Source organism: Homo sapiens, chromosome 11 (genome assembly GCF_000001405.40).
Source record: "Homo sapiens chromosome 11, GRCh38.p14 Primary Assembly".
In the NCBI taxonomy this organism is placed as follows: domain Eukaryota; kingdom Metazoa; phylum Chordata; class Mammalia; order Primates; family Hominidae; genus Homo; species Homo sapiens.
This window is the reverse complement of record NC_000011.10, coordinates 115243748-115267858: the sequence shown is the minus strand read 5'-3', so window position 1 is coordinate 115267858 and position 24111 is coordinate 115243748. Positions and strand designations below refer to the sequence as shown.

Here is a 24111-nt window from a genome sequence, read left to right as displayed (position 1 = left end):
GGGCTGTTCCTGAATCTGAGTTCTTTTGCACGTGTCCTTCTCGGAGGTTAAACTGTCCACCCAGCCATGTTGCCTTATATTCGTCATATTTTTTAAAGGAACCAAAGGGGTTAATTGGTTTCTTCAGTAAAGAGACTTTTGCCGAAGAAAGCAATTTTAGAAAAAAAAAAAAAAAAAAAAGAAAGCAATTTTAGGTTAGTTTGTGTAGTAGCCAGGGAAATGTACTGAAAGGGGTGGACCATGTTTCTGTTGTGCAGATAACCTACATACTGCTTTAGAAATGTGTGATTTCCAGCGTGTGCTAAAATAAGAAGTGGTTGTTTGATTTATCTCCCACAATGGTATGGCATTCTCTTCCTAAGTGGCATTTCATTCGCAAGCCAGGCACTGTAAATTTGAACTGAATATGTAAGTAAATATCCCTCAAGGAGATAGCACACTGGCTGGCCTCGTCTGAGAATACGGCTGCTAAAAATGAAGCTCTTGGCTTGTGGAAAAGGCTCAGCACCTGAAATACATTAGCATCCAAAAGAGTGCATGGTGTGCTAGCCAGCCAAACAAATCGAAAGTTTGTCTGAGCTATAATTGTGGAGCGTTGCCTACAAAGAAAGTAATATTTGGGTTGTACCTCCTACATTTGCCCTCAAGCACTCAAACTGACATTTAACCCGCTGGAATTTTGCTTTGAACTTTCTTGTTTGGGTACATCACCTCAGTGCATGGCAGCTTGGTACATCATAGCTTTTACTATAGCATCTTTGCATGGCAGGGACAAAGACAGTAACAGTGTTTTATCAAGCCCTAACAAGATTGCTGCAGTGCATAATTGTTAAAGGGCTGTCGATCTACTCATGTGCAACAGGCAAGAAGCTTAAAGAATGGAGAAAACCCATAATCGCAGAGTAACTTGTATTCTGATTTATTATTTATCACATCACGGTTAAAACAATTTCCTAGTTTTGTGTATTTTTAATATTGACATTGAATTTTCACCTAATGCAAAGGCAGGTTTCAGAAACTTTTTAAACATTTATATATGCAGGTAGTTAAGGGGGAAAATCCCTTTTTTATTAAGATACAGAATGCATGTTTATCAAAATTCATCTCAGATTCCATTTAGAAATATAGATATCTTGGGTTTGAAAGAGCTTACTGAGCTGCACGGAATGACAGATATTACTGACAGAACAAAGTTATGAATGATAAAAGAACCCAGGAAATGCTTATACTCATGTGGCTATAAATTAAGTAGTAGAAGAAAGATTGCTATTTGTTGGCTGGCATAGAACAAGCATTAAGTTGGTAAATGTGGAAGACAACACTCAGTGTACATCTTGCTTCATGGAGAGGTACTGAACCTCCTCTGTGGCCCAGTCCTGCGTGGCTGATGGCCTGTGAACCCAGCACTCCCACGGGGCTCTCACTGTCATAATGCAGACATGGCACTCCAGCAGGCCCCAGGCAGTAGCACAGGAGTGCTGCACAGAGATCCTAGCTGAAAAAGTTATAGTATTCTAGAACAATTGAGCATTGTAAATGCTGGTTTATGCTTCAAAATGTTACATTTCACTGCTATGAGTAACATCTGTCAAAGCCACCTAATGTTAAGACATGGCTGAGTAATATTACCTTTGTTTTGAGCACAATAAGCAGCTCCCTGGAATAACTGGTGCAGTCCAGCCCCTCTGGAAATCCTACTGGCTGATGCCCACAGCACACTGAATGCTGGCGGGTAAGGCTGCCTTTGCACACCTTCGTAACTCATCTCTTACCACGGTGGTTCTCAAACTTCAGGAGGCCTCAGAATCATCTGGAAGGCTTATTAAGACATTGTTGGGCCCCACTTCTACGGTTTCTGACGCATTCAACCCGAAAGGACACCCAAGAGTTTGCATTTCTAACAAGCTTCCTCATGATGTGAGGCTGTGGTCCAGGAATGACCACTGGGGACTACTGTCCTCCTAATTGAGCTACATGGTTACCAATTATCCATTTCATTGATTAACAAACCACCTCAAAGAAAAGACCTGAGAGGGGAGGGGTGGTGAGAAAAGACCTGGACTTTACACCAAAAGATTAAATGAATGTACAGCCATATATTTTAAGTCAAAATGTTTATGGCATGTGTGTATCTCTTTTTATGATTTCCCACCATAAGTCATTCTTTTGGATTAACCCAGTGAACTACTGGTCCCAAATACAGATTAGACAACCTGTATTGTAGAAGTAGTGTTTGTGTTTACAACACAGGTAGGTGTATTCAATGGTGGAGACAGGGAAACTTTTCCATGATTTTATGAGGGATGAACACTGGAGCACGTAAAAATATGAGAAATACATACCAAAAGCGTTTTCTGTGTGGATAGAGGCAGGGCTAAATAGCTGAGTAATGAAAAGCTAGAATATAAAGGAAATACAACAGCAAGAATGCACTGCCCAAGGTTCCCAGATTTGGCATAGCCTGTATCTTATAGACCAGAAGCCAGAGGCCCAGGAAGACTAAGGGCCAGATACTGGTCTAGGCACTGGAGAAACCACCATGAACACAACACCCAGGTTCCTTCTCTCTTAGAGGTTAAAGTCACTTCTTTCCTTTCCTCATGAGAAAAGGGGAAATTTCAGTATTGGTATTGAATTCCTAAAAATAGGGAGATGTTATGATTCCTTGGTTTTAAAAACAGGCAGGCAGAAAACTGTTTTCCTGATGTAAGTGTGTATATTCAAGAAGGGGAGGGGCATGTGGTAGGTGGGAGGCAGTCCAGTAAACAATATTTCGAGAGCAAACATAGCCTAGTGAATGCCTTATATTTTTCTTAATGCTAACAGACTTTTCATTCCTAATATAATGGTTTGAGTGTGTGCGTGTGTCCCACCAAAGAGATGGAGAAATACTGTGGTGTTGTTCACTTACCTTCATGGCACCCTTGTTTAGTAAATGGGGTCAGGCAGTAGACTCTCCTTCCCCATTCCCACCCGATTCCAGCTTGTTCTCTTGTGTAGGTGTGGAAAGAAGGATAGTAAGAGAAATCATCATGATTGTCATATGATAGCTGCTGTTTATTGAATCCTTATAATGTCAAACAGCACGTTCATTGTCTCGTTTCATCCTCGCATCAGTTACAATGGTTCTTAATATTTCCATTTTTATAGATGACAAAATGGAGGCTTAGGTTAAATAACTTACTCAAGGTCACAAAGCTTATACAAGTTGAAACAGGATTTGAGTCTAGCTCCATCTGGTTCCACCACCAGAGCTCTCATCATCAGCACAAATATCCTTGTACAGGAGCTTTTGTTGTGTTCATGGAAAAACTAGGTCTCTGAAACCTTCATTTTTGCAGAGAATGTTTTTCTGTGGTCTTGAGATAGGGTACACCTGTCCTTGGTTGCTACAATAGATGACAGAGATGGAAGTGACTATTTTAGAACTGAATGTGCCATCCATTAGCCCACAGAAAGGAAACATTTTTGAATGTTTGTTTTTTCTAATTGTGTGTGTTAAGTAAAGTGATTGGACAAACAGTTCTCTCCTGCTTGGTAATCTGTTATAAATCAACCTTCAGATGTTAATAAAACAAGTCAAGACTGACAAAGGAAGTTCCGTTTGTATTTTAAACTCCCAATTCATCAGGGTCTCCTCCTTTAGATCTTCTGTGAGAGTGTCCTTGGTCTTAATGTAGCTGGAAGATAAAATGCAGATAAAAGAGCCATTGTCTCAGAAGAGCATTAATAAAAAATGAATGTTGATCCTAATTGAGTAGTATTTAAACATACGGGGTGGAGGCAGCAGTCTGCAGGGAGCATCTGAGTCTGTTAGAATTTGACTCTCGATCTCATCTTCCTCCTCTTATTACAGGGACCTCACCACCCAGCTGCCTTCTGTGAATGTAAACTGTCACACTGGAATCAGAAAAGATATATATAGACATAGTACTATAGCAGATTCTCAGCTCTTTTGCTATCGTTGTTCTTATTTTGAAACAACGTACTACTATTCCTCTATCTTTTCCTAAAAATCTTGTCATAAAATGTTCAATTAACTCATTTTCTGTTCTTCCCTTTTCATTGTTTGCCTGTTTCTGTTTACAGTGGTTCTTGATAACTTAGTTTTAAGTTCTCCTTAATTCTTAATTCTGTTATGCTGGATATAACAGAAAGAACTCGCAATGGTCAAAGGTGAAAGAATTTGAACAAAAATATTAGTAATAATAGTATTGGATTATAAACCAAAGAACAAAATAAATATCCATGAGTCCATACTGATATAATTAAATTACTGAATAAATAAATGGGAGGAAAGACAAATGTCTTCCTTACAGAAGAATTTCAATTTAAGGAGTGAAAGAAATAAAAATGTTACCACTTGAACACTGAAGTAATTTCTGCAGACAAGATCCACTAGTGGATGCTAAAATTAACAAGTGAAAGTTTAAGGAGAAACATGATAGTTTCACAGCCTCCAAGTATTTTCCCCCAAATATTTATTAATTCCTCTGGTGGTTTTAACATACACATATATCTACAAATTCTTTAATACTGCTCCCTCTTAGGAGATGAGGATAAATTCCCCTCATTGTGAGGATGAGCTGGATGTCAGTGACTCCAATTCCAATGAACAGACTCTGGAAAGGTAAAAGTCATAATTTTTCAGTGGAGAAACCTGGCATACATCACCTTGACCGATGGATCAAGGTTAATGTCACCAATAGTAAGACTTTGACGTCATGTACCTCATGATATGATGCAATGAAGGGGCGCGTCGCCTCCGTGGCATTCTTCCCCAAATTCATAACCTCGGTGTTATCATGAGAAAGCATGAAACAAACCCAGATTGAGGGACAGTCTACAAAATAGCTGACCGGTACTCTTCAAACTGTCACAATCATGCAGTGTTGTACCAACATTCATCTCTTAGTTTTTGTAACTGTACCACAGCTAAATAAGATGTTAACATTAGGAGAAGGTGGATGAAGAAGGCTTTATGATAACTTTTTGCATTATTTTTGCAACTTTTCTGTAAGTCTTTAGGTATTTCAAAATAAAATGTTTAAAGAAAAAAAAAAAGACCCATCAAGGGCATAGAAAAGCTTAGGTGAAGAAACCCTAAAATGAATCCTCATTTATCAACTCATTCATTTATTGATTCATTTGTTCATTCATTTGTTCACTCAAGAAGTATTTGTTGCCAGACACAGTACCAACAAAGAAAATAAGCATCCACTACGGCTTTGCAGAGCTTGGTACGCAATGCCTGGTTCAGAGGAGATATTTGTTCATCGCTTGCTTTTAACTGTATCACAGCCTAGGGTGGCATGCAGAGGTTTGAATAAGTGCTGAAACAGGACAAGTGAGGTGCTTATGGAAACACACAGGAGAGGCACTTAACCTAGTCGTGGGAGACCACAAAAGGCTCCCTGATCAGCCTTTGTAATATAAGTAAGCCTATTGTTTAATCTTTCATTTAAAGTGTGTTCAGTGTTTTCTATGGGACGAACATACTTATGACTTACATTTTGAAGTTGATTTCATCCTTTTAGATTCTAAATGCCTTGAAAGTGAGTGCTTTAAAAGTAAGAATAGCATAAGTTGTTTATATGTATCCATAAAATCCTAGTTGGTAACACAGAGTTTTTATAAGGAGTAAAGGGGTCTCAAATCCCTTTGGGTTGGAATCATTTGTTACTTTGAGTTTTCCTTAGCAGGAAAAAAAAAAAAAAGACAAAAAAAGTGTGACACAAAATATATACATGCTGCTGTGATTTAAAAAAACTGAATCGTAAAAATATCTTCGGTGGCTCACGCCTGTAATCCCAGCACTTTGGGAGGCCGAGGTGGGCAGATGACGAGGTCAGGAGATCGAGACCATCCTGGCTAACATGGTGAAACCCCGTCTCTACTAAAAATACAAAAAATTAGTCAGGTGTGGTGGCACGTGCCTGTAATCCCAGCTACTCAGGAGGCTGAGGCAGGAGAATTGCTTGAACCCAGGAGGTGGAGGTTGCAGTGAGCCGAGATTGAACCACTGCACTCCAGCCTGGGCAACAGAGTGAGACTCTGTCAAAAAAAAAAAAAAATCTTATTGGAGTGCATGAAATTTTTGATGTTAAAAAGATGTTTTCTAAATAGGCTGAAACAAGAACAAATATTTTTACAAAAGTCTTTTCAATGTAACATTTTCAGAAAAAGAAACTTAGAAACAATGTAAATATAAAACAAAAAGGAGACAGTGAAATGACTTCTCGTATTCCTATATGACGGACACATAAGATAGTAATTAAAATTACAGAATTTATGTAGATGTGCACATTGCACACATACACCCCTTCAACATATGAAAATGAAAAAGGAATACACTAAAATATTAATCCTTATCTCAGAGTTATGGGATTGTGGGATTTGTTTATACTACTTTGTTTTACTTTTTCTACCATGACTATATAATTTTTATAATTAGAATGAAATTGCCCTGTGTTAATTTTTGAGAGAGGCATTAATTCTAAGAAGTAGTGGTACAGAGGTCCTGGGACTCTTAATGTATGGGTTCAGTAACAGATGCTCTAATTGAAATGAGAATCAGAGCTCAGGAAAGCTAGTCTAGGTCTCCCTGTGTAGCTAAATAATAATTTCATGTTAGCATTATTTTTGTATACCATTTCTCAATATGTTTTTAAATAACATCTTTGATGGTTTTATATAGGAAGAAACATTGTGCCCATAATAGGTGTACCCTCATGACATTTAGCCTACCTCATGGTAGGCTCTCTTACAGCTTGTAAGTCTCAGGCATTGAGAAGCACTTGGCCTATGTAACAAGTGGGTAGACTCTACATTGCAAATTCCCAAAAAGGTACCTACCAAAGGTCTGATTAAGAGCACCTGGAGGTAGGATGGGCATGGTGGCTCATACCTGTAATCCCAGCACTTTGGGAGGCTGAGGCGGGCGGATCATGAGGTCAGAAGATCAAGACCATCCTGGCTAACACGGTGAAACCCCGTCTCCACTAAAAAAATACAAAAAATTAGCCGGGGGTGGTGGCAGGCGCCTGTAGTCCCAGCTACTCGGGAGGCTGAGGCAGGAGAATGGAGTGAACCTGGGAGGCGGAGCTTGCAGTGAGCCAAGATCGTGCCACTGCACTCCAGCCTGGGCAACAGAGCGAGACCCCGTCTGAAAAAAATAAATAAAATAAATAAATAAAAATTTAAAAAAAGCACTTAGGAATCTTTTTCTTAAAATTGATTATGACTCAGTAAACAAGCACAGCCCCTCATCAATCAGTGTCGGTCATTCTCATGTAGCCATTTGACCTAATGTCTTGTTAGCAATTATACCTCCTCATTATTCTGAAAACTGGCCAGGCCTCGGCCATTCAGGCCACCAGGCACAAAGATAGAGAGGCCCACTGGCCACATATTACCTGATACAGTATGATACAACCATTGAGAGTTCTGTTACATCCAGCGTACAACCAATATGTATGATGTGACATATTACCTGATACAAACCACGGAAGGGAACCATTTCTTAGAGTGTTGAGCTCTACCTGTCTTACTCTCTGCACATTGGATCATTAGAGACTGTCCTGGGACTAATCCAGAGAGGTCAATCTAAGCACATTAAAACAAAAGGGTGGCCGGGCATGGTGGCTCATGCCTGTAATCCCAACACTTTGGGAAGCCAAGCTAGGAGGATTTCTTGAGTCCAGGAGTTTGAGACCAGCCTGGGCAACATAGACAGACCCCGTCTCTAAACAAAATTAAAAGTAAAAAAATTAGGCATGGTGGCATGTGCCTATAGTCCCAGCTACTCAGGAGGCTGAGGCAGGAGGATTGCTTGAGCCCAGAGAGTTCAAGGCTCCAGTGAGCTATGATAGCACCTCTGCACTTCAGCTGGGGTGACCCAGTGAGACGCTGTCAAAAAAACAAAAAACAAAAACAGAGAGGGTTAAGAGCCATTATCTCAGAGATGGAGACAGGACTGAGCAAAGGAGAAGGCTAGAGCTAAAGTGAAATGAGGTGGGAAGGGCATGGAGCCAGGAGTTACAGAGGGAGAAAACGATGCTGAAGAGTTCAGGATGAGATCTTTAGATGGCAGGATTTCTGCTTGGACAGTGTTTGGAGGAAAGCTCCTTCTTTAGCTCCTCTTGGGCTATACCGAACGTTAAGGAAGTAGACTCCTAACAGAGAGGTAGAGACCGTAGCTCTGCTTTCATCTGTAGATTAAGCACCTCTTTCCTTTAAAAAAAACAAAAAGTTGGCTGGACATGGTGGCTCCCACCTGTAATCCTGGCATTTCAGGAGGCCGAGGCGGGTGGATCACCTGAGCTCAGGAGTTTGAGACCAGCCTGGCCAACATGGCGAAAACCCATCTCTACTAAATCTATAAAAATTAGCTGGGGGTGGTGGCGTGTGCCTGTAATCCCAGCCACTTGGGGGGCTGAGGCAAGAGGATCACTTAAACCTGGGAGGCAGAGGTTGCGGTGAGCCGAGATGGCACCACTGTGCTCCAGCCTGGGCAACCAAGCAAGACTCTGTCTCAAAAAAAAAAAAAAAAAAAAAAAAAAAAAAAAAGTTAAGACTGGGTGCGGTGGCGCACGCCTGTAATTCCAGCACTTTGGGAGCCTGAGGTGGGCAGATCACTTGAGGCCAGGAGTTCGAGACCAGCCTGGCCAACATTGTGAAACTCTGTCTCCACTAAAACTACAAAAATTAGCTGGGCGTGGTGGCACGCTTCTATAGTCCCAGCTACTTGGGAGGCTGAGGTAGGAGAATCGCTTGAACCTGGGGAGCAGAGGTTGTAGTAAGCCAAGATCATACCACTGTACTCCAGCCATGGTGACAGAGCAAGACTCCATCTAAAAAAAAAAAGTTGGAAAGTTAACATTTTTCTCTTTTTCATGTTCTTTAAAAAAATTAAAAGCTTTCTAGGGCACCTATGACTACCATTTGTTTTTCTTTATGCTTTGAGCTACAATCATCTAAAAATAAAAATGATTGTGCTTCTTATCTTCATTTTCCCCTAAAGTAGGACTCTTCCTATTTGAAAGATGGTTGGAGGAAAGGAAAAGTATATGTGAACTGCTACATCTCCTTAGATTTGAGAGACGGAGGGAGAAAAGGAAACCTTAGATTTCTTTAGTACTTGCTCCAAAGAACTCAGATATCTTATTGATCTTGGTAACACGTTATAATAAAAGTAGAGTTTTAGCTTCTTGGTTTTGGCTGCCAGTGTCCATGACAAGGTTCACCAAAGATGGTTTTGGACTCTGGGCCTGGCTCTAAGCTATAGGGCCCAAATCTTAGACAGTTGAGATCCAACAAAGCTGGGTTCTGGAGTAGGTCGGGAAACAGAGCTGGTGGCAGAGTGCATCTCGGAGTTCCCTCTTTGACCTGTTCACAGGCCTTTCATTGAGCCTTGTTTGCCATGCTTTTCTTGTGGTTTGTGACAGATAAGAACTGTATTGATTCCTAGCATCTGCTGGCAGTAACCTTTGAAAGGGCAGGCGATGCATCACCACAGAATTTTATCTATCAATATCGGAGTAATAGAAAGACAGGGATGACATCTAATCACAACACAGCTGGCAGATCATAAATCTGAGCTGATACGGTACTAGTAATGGGCAGCAGAAAAAAAGGGACATGGATTAACATTCGGATAAAGTCAGGGGGTCGTTTACATGGAAAGGACACGATCTGGCCATGAGAAAAGTCCTCATGGAAATGATCACCCTCAGAGGCCTGAGAAGTTAAGTAACCTTCCCAAGTTTATCCGGTTAGTCTGTGGAAGAGCCCTGCTGTAAGCCTCAGTTTCCTCATCTATAAAATAGGCAAATACTTTGATGGTTGGTAAAGGATTCAATTAGATTACGTATGCCAATTCTCAGAGCATAGACCCTGGATCAGCAGTGTCAGCATCACCTGTGAGCTTACTAGGCATGCAAACGCCTGGGCCCCACCTCGCACCTGCTGAATCTGAAACCCTGGGAAGGGCCCAGCAGACAGGCCCTCCAGGTGATGCTGATGCATGTGACAACGTTTGAGAATGCAGATGTATGCAAAACAACCAACAAACACCCTTAAAAGGGTGGCCTGGCATAGAGCTAAGGTTCAAAGCAGCAGCATTTAACTGCTGCTTTTATTACTATTAATATTACTTGGTCCTGTCATTTATACTAATAATTTACTCTGTGTACAAGCCCTACATTCTTCATACTTTTTTCATTCACTGGTGAATTAGTGATAAAAATAAACATTTTCTGACAGATAAACATTTTTGACATTTAAAAGATGTCATAGAACTGGATACACTAACTCCTATGCTCCTCTGGTTACAGTGCTAGAGAATACCAGCATTCTAAAGGTTAAGGTTCTAATGTGTGCTTTGGACATATTTAGTGCTTTTGACATGTCAGGAAGCTTCCAGTCTGGACAGTGAATAGTGCTACAATTTAATAACATAAATGGAGTCTGTCTGATTCTGCAAAGAAATGGCCTTCCTTGGGGCCCAGAATATATAGTTCCTTCTGCAGTTACACTCACAGTATTTTTAATCATTTCATGATTTTATTATATCCCAAGTATAAGGTGCTACAAAGAGTCCCTGGTGCTGGCAGTCACTCAAAAATTGGCAAATCTAAAAAGTGAATAGAACAGCAAGTAGCCCATTAGATTATTTTTTTCTTTATTAAAAAAAAACTTTTTTAAAAAGAAAAACTACCGTATAAAGTTGGAAGTGTTGATTTTGGCATCTTATACATGAAAAGTAGTCGTAATAAAGTGCCTCAATTGTTGGTGCTTGTTCTGCAGAAATTATGGCTGTGCACAATTGTGAGGGCTTAACTGGGTTTCCAGGAAGTACGTAATTCACACTCTAAATGTGACAAGCATGACTGCCCATAAACCTAACGACTTTTTTAAGAGACCAAAATTCAGAATGTTATTCTCTCTGAAACTGCACTTAGTAACCCAGCAGAAAACTGTTCAGAGATCTGCTCCCATTGCAATGAAGGCATCTGGACATACCAGTGGTAAGAACAGCTAACAGCTTTCATATAAGAACAAACTTTTTAGAGGAAGGAGTAAGTGTGAACCTATTGCAATTGCCATATGTTAAGGAACACAAACAATAGGAACTAGAACATGGCAATGGCCATTTTGTTGCTGGCTCTCTCTCCCTGCCCACCTCCAACCAGAAAAAAAGTTTACTGGAAAACTGAAACAAATTGAAGTCCTAGGTATATAAATTTTCAGAGTGATAGGAAAGAACCTCCCCCACACTGAGCCTTTCACTCTGAGGTGAATTCTCTGGTTTCAAGGTAAGTGTTACTTCCCCCTGTGAGCAGCTGCTAACGATGCTGTTAGCCTATATCCGGATGGCACAAGGCACGCTGACTCCAGTGACTGAGAACAGGGCCAGCAGTCCAGGCTGATCCATGGATATTCATTAAGAGGCTGTGTGAAATGAAACTGGTGTTTACTTTTTCTTCTCCTGGACATTCTATGAGGCTCATTCCAAGCCTGATTCTTTCTGCCTCAAGCTTAAGACTCTTGTTATTTCTCTTAAACTTTGGTTTATGCTGTTACCTATATTTTTACAGCAATTTTTATCTGCTAGCCAGAGTGAAAAGGCCTGTTGTAATGGGTAAGATAGCTTTTATTTTTTTCCTGCCTTCAAATCATATAGCTGAATTTCATCACTTCTATAACAAACCTCTGCAGCCTCTTTTCAGTTTTCATTTTGGAACACTTGCTTTATTTCTCTATTTGCTGTTTTTGTCTTCACTGGCCTAATGCTCACAAACACAAAACACACAGTAACAATAAAACCAAGTAAGCAAAAATTCAGCTAGGGTGCTACCGCTTGTGAACTGACAGACCCCACTAAGGGTGAGAGCGCTGGCTAGAAGTAGTCATTTTTGCAATTAAGTGCAGAATAATCTATTTGCATTGGTTACAGTCAGCTAGCTGCTTTGGGAGAGGATTTTTCATTTGTGCATTGGTTGTTGTTATTTTTCATCTGTGCATTGCTCGTTGTTTGCAACTTAAGGAAGAATGATACATTCAGTTTCCTATTGATTTTATCCATGAGCCACATCAATTTATCTTCCTGCAACCTTGAATTTTTAAAAATTTGTTTTTAAACATGTTTATTCCTGGAAACTGGCCTAATTTGGTGGCTAGGATTCATGATCTTCTTTATCCCATTACACCAAGATTCACCAGTTTCCTCAAAACAAGTTATCTAGGAATATTTCTCTTTCTAGGATCTCCTTTGGTTTAGCTGTTAGTCTTGTGTTTATGACTGTGATATAAAAGAATGATTGGAATTAATATACTCCAGGCCAGCGCTCCTCAAATTAATATGCGTAGGAATTATCTGAGTCTCTTGTTAAAATGCACTTTCTGACTTAGTAGGTCTCGTGTGAGTTTGAGATTCTGCATTTTTAGTAATCTCCCAGGGATTGTCAAGACTGCTGGTCAACAACACTGCATAGCAAAGCTCTGAGGGGACTGGTGGACAGGTGTCCTAATTATATTTTTGGTACAATTGGGTGCTACGGAAAACCCTCTTGAGTCATATTGCAGAATGTATGTGTCCTTTGCCCTTTAACTTCTGAAATTAGCTCTTTGCTGGTCTTTCCTTAGAAGGCAGCTAGACCTTAACTGACGTTTATAGAGGCAAGTAACGCTCATTTCTTCCTTTAAAAGGGGAACACTGATGCCAAAGCCCGTGCGCCTGACCTCTGAAGTATTCTCGACTCCTGCTCACTCTCTTTTCCTTCTCCTGAGTTCTGCTTCCTCTTCTCTATACTCTTTTCCCTGACTCTTATCAGCTCCTGAGCACTCTGTGGCAGTCTCTTAACTGATCCTCCTGACTCCAGCCCTTTTCCTCCTCAGCCTCCCATCCCTCTCTACATAGAAGGTATCTTTCAAAATACAGGTGTAATCATTCCCTGGATTAAAATCACTTAATGGCCCCCTATTGATTACAAGATACAGTGCAAATTCCCTAGCCTGGCATGCAATGTCATTCAATATCTGGACCTAATGACCTTTCCAGAAAACGTTCCTTCTTGTCTCTATTCAGAGCACACTGTATTTTTCATATTGTTCCAAATATGCCACGATCCTCCTTTCAGATTTCCTCTCCTTCTTCCCCCTCTCTAGAAGCTGCACCCTTATCCCAACTGAGCTGGTCATCCTTTTCTATGGTACCCATAGCATATTAGTAACTTGTGACTTACAAGTATGCGTTTGTTGTCTCTGTGTGTGTGTGTGTGTGTGTGTGTGTGTGTGTGTGTGTGTGTGTTTGTCTCCCTTGCGCATTAGGAACTTCTTAAAGTAGGGCTGTTTTCTCTATTAGCACTCTAGGTCCAATACTAAGGCCTGTTTCCTTCCAAGAGTCTTGTGAAAATCCCCGAGATATCGAAAAGTATTGGCTTCAAAATAAAATATACAATTGGAAATAATTTTGAAAGCAAAAACCCTTTGAAAATTTTAATTCAAAATTATATTTAGTGTGAGATATGGATGATACTTAATAAGTCTTGATGTTATATGGACCAGTTACTTCAAAAAGTGAGAGCGCCTAGCACCCATGAAGTCTTAAAACAGCTTATCATTTAGTAATTTTATTCAATAAACATTTATTAACATTCGCCCTCTTAGCCAATACTGTATTATGCTTTCGAGATACAAAGATGATTAAGATAGTGTGACTGCTCTCAAGGAGCTCAAGATAATTAAAATAACAATATATATTTTTGGCACACAGGTTTTGTGTCAAGACTCAAGCTGTACAAATATGTGGATTATCTCATTTGCACCTCAAGATAACCTAGCAAGGGAGGTATTTCATACCCATTATTATGTGTGAGAATCCTGAGGCTTAAGAGAGTTTAACTTTCCCAAGGTCTGCCTAATAACTGGCAGAGCTAGGATTGAACCCAGATCAAAATCAAATGAAGGAAATAACCCTATAAACAAATAATCACAGAGCTATCCATGTAATGAGTACTGAGACTGAGACACATAACGATTTGTGTGAGTTAGACATCAAGAAACCTGGGCAGTCATCAGAGCTCTCTTCATGGAGAAAGCTGATGGCTTTGAGCTCAATCCTACAGGACAAGTAGGAATTCCTCCATGGTCAGTTTTCCGCTGTGATGAGTAGATTAGTAATAGGTGGGTTTGATTAAGCAATAAATTAAGAAATTATGTCAGTAACTACTGTCAGTCATCAATTACATATTGATTTGCTTCCTACATTCAAGGGTATATTTTTACCTAAGAATATCTATTAGTGTCATTGTATAGTTATCAAACTAAACAAAATATTATTATTCAATTAAATTTTGTCTGTGCAACTTTTCTTTGTTTGATGTCAAATGAAAGGGGAAAATTATGTCCCGTGATGCCATAGGAGCACACCACTTAGTGAAGGTTAGGTTTCCAGACACCCCAAACATCTTAGACATACCCAGGAACTCATTAGAAAGCAGGAAAGGTCTCAATACCTGATAGCTTTCTCAAAGCTCATGCACTTAGTCCTAAAGGCAGGAATTATCTGTGAGATGTGACAGCCAGCATTCGAGGGAAACAGCAGAGGACACGTGCAAGCCGAACAGGCTAAGACTGTTTAGGGCCAGCTTGTCCAACCTGCAGCCCACAGACCATATACAGCCCAGGACAGCTTTGAATGTAGCCTAACACAAATTTGTAAACTTTCTTAAAACGTTATGAGATGTGTGTGTGTGTTGTTTGTTTGTTTGTTTAACCTTATCAGGGGTCATCAGTGTTAGTGTATTTTATGTGTGACCCAAGACAATTCTTTTTCCAGTGAGGCCCAGGGAAGCCAAAAGATTGGACACCCCCGGCTTAGAGGAAGGCCAAGTATTCGTGCATATTTCAGTAACTCATGGATGTCCTCCCTGTATAGAAGCATAGAACAGAGAAAATTGGAAGACAGCAAGCTTTTGTGCAATTTGTCATTTATTTCATTTTGTCTTAGTCTCAGTGTTTAAAGAGAGGTTTAGTTATATGGAAAGCTGACTTTTGTGAAACACCGTATTCCCTCAAGATGTTTGGCATCTGAAATATTGATTTTTTTTTTTAGGTTTTACAGGGAGAAGGGTGCATTGCATTATCAGCCTAACACTAGGCACCCTTCACACCCTTTGAATATGGTGATTGCTCTCTGAACTACTTATGGGCTTATACAGAAAGGGAGGAAACCCAGACGATAAGTCATGTTTTTAATGCTGTAGATTGCAATTCCAAATGTCTGGTCCTCTGCCCTCATCTGCTATTTACCTTATATGTTTCATACTTGTGGTTTTTAATTTGCAATTCAATATAAATGTTTGATAAAGATATTTTAATTTGCTCTCTGCTTTTTAGTTAGCCTTAGAATTAAAACAATTATAGCTAAACCTCTGAAATAAAAAAAAATTCAGCAGATTATGGAAGATCATAAGAAGGTCCTAATAAAATAGACAGAGAGTGCATAGATGGTGGTGATGCTGATGAAGAATATGGAAGAGAAGGTCATAGTTCTCTATTTAGCATTTTTGGAGCTTAAATACTTTCATAGGCATTACTTCACTCAATTCTCATAATAATCCTTTTGGAGAGATAACATTTATCCATTTTAAAATATAGAAACATTCAGAATTTCAGAGGTTTTCCTGTTTTCACCACCAGTAAGCTCAGAACTACAACAAAAATTCCTGTTTTCCAAGTGCGATGGTCTCATTTCTTCTTAGCTGCCCCCTATTAGTGAAAAATAAGTCATAGGTAATGTTCTTCTCACTTATCTCTAATTTCAGTGATGATTAATCAGCAGCCCACACTTAGATGATACTAATCAAGTTATTGTTATAATGGCACCAGTTTGTGTAGTTACTGTGCATAATTGTCTGACATAGGCTTTGCACTGGGGAGTCAGCAGGCATAAGAGTAGAATCTGGAATCTCTTTGGTCCACTGACTTCTCTCCACATGCAATTCCTTCATCAAACTGTGGCTTAAAAGAGCTTTCTACCTCTATTATACGTCTTCCCAGGTTGAGCTGGGACCAGCAACTGAGGAAACCAGTTTTAAAAACTAATAAACAAACAAAAAACCACTAGCACTTGCTTTATGATTGACAGATGATAGAGTGAATAACTCAGCAATAAGGGCCTTAGTCATGGACCCCAGTTTTCCAGCTAAGAAATTGTCATTTCATATAATAGTTCAAAGCTGCTTGGCTTCCTGGTAGGAGATGTGGATAAGCTGAATGTTGCAGCATTATTCAGCATGATGATTATCATGGATTTACAGCTGTTTCTTGAACAAACCATATTACACACACTCACAGAATACACTCTAGAATAAGAATATAAAACACCTCTCCCCTCCCACTTCCCAATTTTCTGTTTCTGTAGTAATGTCAGTTGAAACTGACATTCACTCTGAGTCCATATCTGATGTGTTCCAACTGATATCCTTACTTGCTTGTCCTGTCGGCTCTAAGCTTTAAATTTGGAAGGTTTTCAATGACTCTTGTTGGCAGGAAAAATGAATGAGGAGGTGTAGAGAGAGACTGCTATTACAGCCACATTTCAGCCACGTAGACTGTCAATACTAATGAATGCCCTTGAGGCAGGTACTGTAAATGCCGTTAAGTTGGAGTTGAGCTGCCTTTCGAGTTTGGGTCCTTTGGCAGAACAGACATCTCCTCTCTAAATACTAAAGACCCTGTTGTAGAGCTAATTTTATCAGTATCACATATTGGAACATGCTGGTTGCTGATAGATTGGCTGTTTGGCTTCAGATTCCTTGATATGCTGAGAATGTTACTTTAGTTTTGTTCCTGAGTTATAAAAATGAGATACTATAAATTCATTCATTAGTTCTCCTTCATTCTTTTAGCATCGTAAAGCTTATTGTCCTTTCAGCTACCTTATTAATATAGTATAATTGTTAATAGCACCCAATCTAGAGTTAAACAGACCTGGATTCAGATATTGGTTCCAACCACTTATTCAGTATATGTAAATCTTAGCTTCCTTGTCTGTGTAATGGAGATGATAATGGGATATTGAACCACATAAGATTGTTGTGAGGTTTAAATTAGATAATGTGAAGAAAGGGAAAAAAAAGAAGCATAGCGCCTTGCATAGAAAACATTTTAAAAATACATTAGCTATTGTTATCATGCAGATGATTAAAAGAATATCCTCCTCCAGATAGCAGTGAGAGTTTTCTTAATATTAGAAAAATTAATAATAAGTGCTTTGGAAAATAAATAATTTGTTTTTCTTGCCTCTATACATGTGGAGAATAGCAGCCACTTTCCTTTTCTTCTCTTTATGTAGTAATTATTGTTACCCGTTACAGTCTTATGATTTTAAATATCTTACACTAGTTGTTAATCTTTTAACACCCTGGAGACAAATGTAAAGGGGGAAAAACCCAGCTTTTAGTGAGCTGAAGTGAAAAGTGACCCAAGTTTAATCACAGTACCTCTTAACAAAGAGAAAATCATATTAAATTGGGTACTTAAAATTAGGATATATAAAATAAGGGAAATACATATGTTATCTCCATTGAGACTTGAGGATGAGGTTGTAAAGAAATTCAATTTAAATAATTTTATAAAGAATAACTGGTAAGGGTGGGCACAGTGGCTCATGCTTGTAATCCCAGCACTTTGCGAGGCTGAGGCAGGCAGATCACGAGGTCAGGAGATCGAGACCATCCTGGCTAACACAGTGAAACCTCATCTCTACTAAAAATACAAAAAATTAGCCAGGGTGGTGGCGGGCGCCTGTAGTCCCAGCTACTTGGGAGGCTGAGGCAGGAGAATGGTGTGAACCCGGGAGGCGGAGCTTGCAGTGAGCCGAGATCGCACTACTGCACTGCAGCCTGGGCAACAGAGGGAGACTCTGTCTCAAAGAATAACTAGTAATGGCAAGTATTGTGAACAGCCTACATCTCTGATATACTTACGACTCAGGGGGATTGAGAAGTATCCATTAAAGTAGAAGAGACCACAGTAGGGTCACCCATCCCCATAGCTTTGAAATCCTAAATTTTTCCTTAATTTGGTTAGGGAAAGCCAATGTTATATTTTTTACAGAGTAAGAGCTCACCAGAGGCTGCTGCAGTATATATAATAAGTAGTTTGGCTACTAAGATCTCTTCTGGGGTAAAAGAGAAATCTAAGTTCCCTTAGATTTTGTAGGAACAGTAGAACCTAATATTTGTATCTTCCTTTGTGGTTTTCAAATATGTGTTTTGAGTTTTAATCCAGTAAACCTTTTGTTTTAGTTGTGAATAGCTTGTGTTTTGGGAAATGTAGATAGTTCTATATTGAATTAAATCAGTCGCTTCCTATTATCCCAGACTTCAACTAACTTTGGGGCCTGTGACCAACAACACCGGATGAAGTGAGGGTTTGTGCTTTATCAGCTATCAGCTGCTATTTACACAGTTCATCCCTTTTAAAAGAATGTGAGTTTCCTTCTCAATAGTCCATGCTTGTCAACAGTGGAATTTTGTGTAACCGGTTTTCACTCTAGAAAGCAGTCACTTAATGTTTCCTAGAGTATAATATCATATTATAAGTTCATTAGCAAAGTGGTTGATACAGAAGATCAACAATTGGCCTTCAGCACAACTCCATTTTGTCTAAAAGAAACTTCATATGTTTTGAAATGCTGGAATACCACCCAGCTTTGAATTGCTACTAAAGCAGCTCAATCTAAAACTATTCTTTTATTCTTTTTTTGCCATAAACGAGCATCACAGAATCAAATCCATTGAGAAGAAACTGCTTGCTTTGCCAACACAATTAGTTTCATAAGAAGCCTCTGCCTTCAGATTGTTCTTCTCCAAAGTCCACGTTTGTTGGATGGCTGCAGTTATTGTTTAATTAATATTTTTTAAGAGCCCCCCTTCTCCCAAGGGCCTCTAAGCAGATTTAGCAGGCTTAAAATGACTCTTCCACAAGGTGATTTCAATGCCATCTCACAAACAAATGAAATAGTGGCTTTTCTACTTTGGGGGCTCGATTTTTTTCTCTCTCTTTTAGTTCTCATAAAACCTGTCCACTAGAGAGAGTTTTTCTTCAGGGTTATCCTATCTTCTCTCTAAAAAAGATGCTATCTTGCTTATGAACGAAAAGCCCATGCAACCTATCCAGCTATGAAAAGAAGTGAGAGAAAAAAGTCTCAGGTTTTCACCTACCAGTGTGCAAAGCAAAAGGATTCAATGATTATTATTATCTTTTATGGTTTATTTTTATATTCCTGTTTCTTTTTTTGCCATTAGCTTCTTTGATAAGTGAATTTTAATGGAAAAGCTAATTCAGATCTTCAAGTTTAGTGGATGGGTGTCACTCCGCATAAACATTCTATAGAGAGAATTGCACCTCTTCCTTTTATGGGATCAGATAGCTCAGACCTTCAGCGTCGTAATTGTTTGGCACTTTTAGTGATGTGGGCCCTGATTAAAAAGTCATATTGAGCTCAGTCTTTTAAAGGGAAGGCAGCTAATGTGATGGTTGAAATTGTAATAGTACAGGCAGGGATGCTATAACTATTTTCTTTTGTCACAGTCTTCCTTGAAAAGAGTTTTCACCCATCTAATCAGTGTTTTCTTTCACAAGAGATACCCATCCTGTATGTAAATAGAAGTTGGACTGTGCTTGACCTCCGTTCTTCAGCCTTAATGTCAAAAACCAATACACACAAAGGTAGAAATGGTTTGATGCATATTAGTCTTTGAAGTCAAGACTCTGGTCACCTTTGGTTTGGCATGGTGTAGGAGATCATTCTCTTGGGAGAGAAAAGCAGAAATAACTCTTCTTGCAGCTGATGTTAAAGAATTTCATGGGGACAAAAGAAACTTTACATAATTCTTTCCAATAACTTTTTTCCTAATTTACATAATTCTTTCCAGTAAGTGTTTTAAAACCTGACTACTTTCCAGTGTGTAAGTTGAGGGCGGAATTGTCAAAAATCTATTCACTAGGTAAGTTTTGTTGGCCTTATAGCTGTGGAAAACCCAGTCTGGGGACTCTGAAGGAGAAACCTTGCTGTGCTATTTCAGAGCTGCCTCTCCCCAAAGGAATTTCAGAATATAAGGGACACTAGAAGACATGAGGTTTGAGAAAATGGGTCTTCATGTTATTTGCTGTGGTTGCTGTTGAGTTAGACCCTGAGTGGAATGCATTGTGGTGAGCCACCACCCTAAGCATCAGTATTCTTGGCTATTCTCCCTTCATGTGCATTTTGGACTTAAAGGTGAAATTCCATCTTTAACCCCCTTGTGGTTGTCTGAACAATGATTAATGAACTAGATGTGATTCCCTGCAGACCTTTCAAAGGGTGGATGAAGGATGGAATTTCAGCCTTTTTTTTAAACCAGGCCTTTTGCTTAATACTGCTTTTAAAATTAATGTCCTCCTTTGAATGCCAAGAAAACAAAAGGAATTTCTCAAAAGTGTATGCAGCTTGACACAATAGACCTTAATTGGTGTCAAGGAGATGTTAGGATGAATGGGAAAATGCCCAATAAGACTGAAAAGTGGAACCTTGTTATGAGCTGTCATTTCAACGTGTATTTAAACTATAGCAAAACTGAAACATATTTGCCATATAGATCATAATGACTCCAAAGGAGCCATTATACTCTATTATGTAATTACATAATCAAACCATGCATAGTAATCAGCTTTTGGAATTCAATGCTAATCAAACATACCTATAGTATGTGTTTAAGCGAAAATAGAGAACGTTAATTTGCCATTAGTCAGCTAAACAAGAACGTGTATACAGAATATTCATGAATAGCTTAATGTTGTGTCAGATGATATTTTTTGTTGTGTATTCAGGGGAAATCAACAATTTTAATTGAAGAAAAATCCAGCACAGAGGAGGATTACTCTTAAACTTGCCATTCAAAAATTTGCCTCACCTGTTACTGATTATAAAATGTTAAATTAAATAAAATATTTTTCCTTTTATAAGCTCAAGTGACACAACAGTAATTATATAGCAGAAGATTCTTTTGAGATCCTGACCATCTCCATGCCATAGGATACAGTGTTATAAATGCTACATAAAATAAAACTGTCAAAACAACAACAACAAAAGCCTTTGAGCACATATTGCTTTTGTAATTAGCAATGAATCAAAGGTGTTATCTAGAAAGAGCCAAGAATAGAAATATCTTGATGACTTGGTCAGGGGGTCTGGCATCTACTCGTGGCTGGGCCTCATGCTTGTCATATGATTTCAGGCCTATCTGCTCCCTGGGCCTAAAGTGAGAGAGTTGATCTCCAAATTTCTTTCTACTCAGTTCTATTGATTCTGGATTCCATAGGGTTCTATAAAAAACAAGGTGATACAGATGAAGTGTTTGGGTCAATGTCACATATTCTTGTTCACTCCATTATTTGTTGAGTTGGTTTAGTTTATTTTATCTCTAAGCCTGTGAACTGTATGGTTGGCATTCATAATTATTTTCACCATTAAGTAGACAGTCTTTGGAGCAGACAATCAACATATTTGACTTAACTGTTTGGTGTAACAAGACATGGAGAGGATCAAAAAGGTTAAGAGGGGCTTTGTAAACAGCAGACAGATTGATTGCTTTTGATTTTAGATAAATACTAAAGTATTCATGCAGGTTGATATTTGCCTGTCTCAGAAATAAAGAATTGCATTTGTCTTGAAGAGGTCACACCCTTAACCTTAAATCTACAGTTGATGGGCCCCTCTCTTTGGACCCTGGTTCTCACTGTCTCTTGTCTGCACATTGGATGCCTAAAAATGTTACTGTAATATTTAAATAGAACTAAATTCTTTCATCAAACGCTTTCGTGGCTTGAACTTCGAATAATTTATTTTCAAATTACTTTTACTGTAATTCTTATTAATTCAAATAGGTTTCTGATTTGATATAAAACTCTGTAAATGCAGGGAACAGTTTAATGAATTGAAAGATAGGATTGAGTCTTTTAAAGGAAATGTACAAAATATGCTGACAATAATTGCTTAGATAGAAATCAAATCTTAATGGCTTTGTTAATGATTTGTAGTGAACACTGTGTTTACGTTGACTTGGGGGAACATACGTAGTTAGAAAGATTTTTCCCTCTGGGTTTCAGCAGAATCTTAATTTTTTTCATTCTTTTCCTGAACGTACTCAACTCTGTACTAGCTCTCAGAAACGTTAGCAGGAATTGCAGTGCCTCTACTAGTGATGGTTTTATTTCGGGTAGGGATTAGAGGTTCTTCTTCCAAGTTGGGCCCACCCTGAACAGGGTTGTAAAAATAGTATCCAACAGAAATGAGCATAATTGACAAGTCATTTGAAGCTTCAAGTCAGCGAAGGCTCACACATCTAAAGAAAATAAGTTTTCCAAAACATGCTTCTTTGAAAATTTCCAACCTAGGAGGGTAGGAATGAATAACCCTGAGCCTTTCATTTGTGTAAAATTTCAAGAACTATAGTAGAGTTTTTAAAGTAGTAACTTACTATATTGATTAGCAGAATGTTTTTTTTTTAACAATCAATAGTTTTGGTTTGACTCCTATTTAGACAATATGTGCTGATTTAATGTTAGGTTCAGTCTTCCATAGAGCAGAAGGTTTTCCTAATATGATTAGTTTTCCTAATATGATTTTGCTACAAGGGACTGTATTTGCCCTTTCTCTGGGCAAACTGTCTTCCCTGTGAAGAGTCGCTGGTGCTCCTTCTCTATGTCAGTAACAGTTTACGTAGTTGCCATAGTATAAACTCAATTCTGTTTTAACTATGACTTGCCCTTTTATTATAGTCTTGACTAGAGAGACTCCCCCGGTGTAAATGAAGTGCTTTATTGATGAACAGCCAGGCAGCGGGGGCGAGAGCTTGTGGTGCTGGCAAAAGGCCGCCATGCACTGGTAATAAAGGCTTTCTCTAGGGGCAGAGTGCCGAGCACTGAAAGAAGGAAGCAGTAGTAAACAAGGTCTTTTACATTCAGGACAGTTTCTCTCTCATCTTAAAGTGTGTAATTGTGTTCTGGATAAAATATGGAAATAAAAAAAATCAGAAGTTGCTCATAGGCAAACAACCCTCTTTAAAAACAAGTACATTTTCCAAGGCAGAGCCAGTATGAACCTTGGCATCAAAGCCTGATGCTGGCTGGTAAAGAGTGCAAGCTGTGTGGGCCGGAGAATCTGATAGAACCGGGTTCAAGCATCAGCTTGGCCACTTAGCTGAATGACATCAGGCAGTTTATTTAAATCGCTCTGTCTCAGGTTTTTCATCTCTAAAGCGGGGATACTGAAAACTCCAGGAGTTTGAGAGAGAAAAGTATGTAAAGCATCCTGCACAGTGCCCAGCCCTGGATAAACATTTGTTCCCTTCCTCATGTCTCATTTAAGATTTGCCTTGTCACCTCCCTACGGTGGCCATATTGTTGACTGAATAGATTCCAATCCAGGCAAGTGTTTTATGTAATGTCACTGAAATGGAGTTTATAACAAAATGAGGTTTTAGGAAAGCATTTGTAAACTATGTTAATTGAAGATTGAATTAGTAGGGGATTTATGTGCCCGCTGCACCCCCACCCCAACAACTCTGCTATCATGGTCATTACTAATCATAAAAATATATTTTATCTTTCTTTAGACAATAAGCTTTCTCTTCATTGTGATGAGTGCCCTAACAACTTCTAGTTTACTACAGGAAGCTTGATTGTAAGCGAATGGGACTCTCCAGTGCCATAGTTTTATTTTTAGGAATCGTCTGGCAAATCGGGGAGTTATAGGGAATATAGTTGCTGATACAAATAAAAATCCAGTTGGATTCTGTCTTCTAAACCTCACCCATATACACCGATTAGTCTATAAATGCCAGATATTGTTCCACCCTTAAAATAAATCACCTTCCTGTTAACAGCCTTATTTAATGGCTACAGTATGTTGTACCTATTTGATTTCTTTTGCCCAGAACATGTCCTGTTTCTGCCTTGACATTATATCTGCTAATTGAGTTTTAGAAAATCAGAAAGGTTTTAAAAATGGATTCTTGAAGAAAGGCACCAAAGTTGCCTGTTTGTACCCTTCTGCTACAC

The 24111-nt window shown here is 39.0% G+C and overlaps 1 protein-coding gene across 13 annotated transcripts in view; it reads left to right on the top strand.

Moving 5' to 3' along the window:
* CADM1 (cell adhesion molecule 1) overlaps positions 1 to 24111 on the top strand; it is a 335180-nt gene that overhangs the window by 236557 nt on the left and 74512 nt on the right. Inside the window, exon 1 of one of the 13 annotated variants that reach the window (XM_017017457.3) lies at positions 10818 to 11027. The exons of 7 other annotated variants lie outside the window; for them this stretch is intronic. In XM_017017457.3, coding sequence (XP_016872946.1) covers positions 10886 to 11027 — 142 coding nt within the window. In that variant the 5' untranslated portion in view covers positions 10818 to 10885. Of the gene's footprint in view, positions 1 to 10817; positions 11028 to 24111 lie in introns of those variants that run through there. 5 more of the 13 variants (XM_047426691.1, XM_047426690.1, XM_047426693.1 and 2 more) reach the window with 5 other exon arrangements.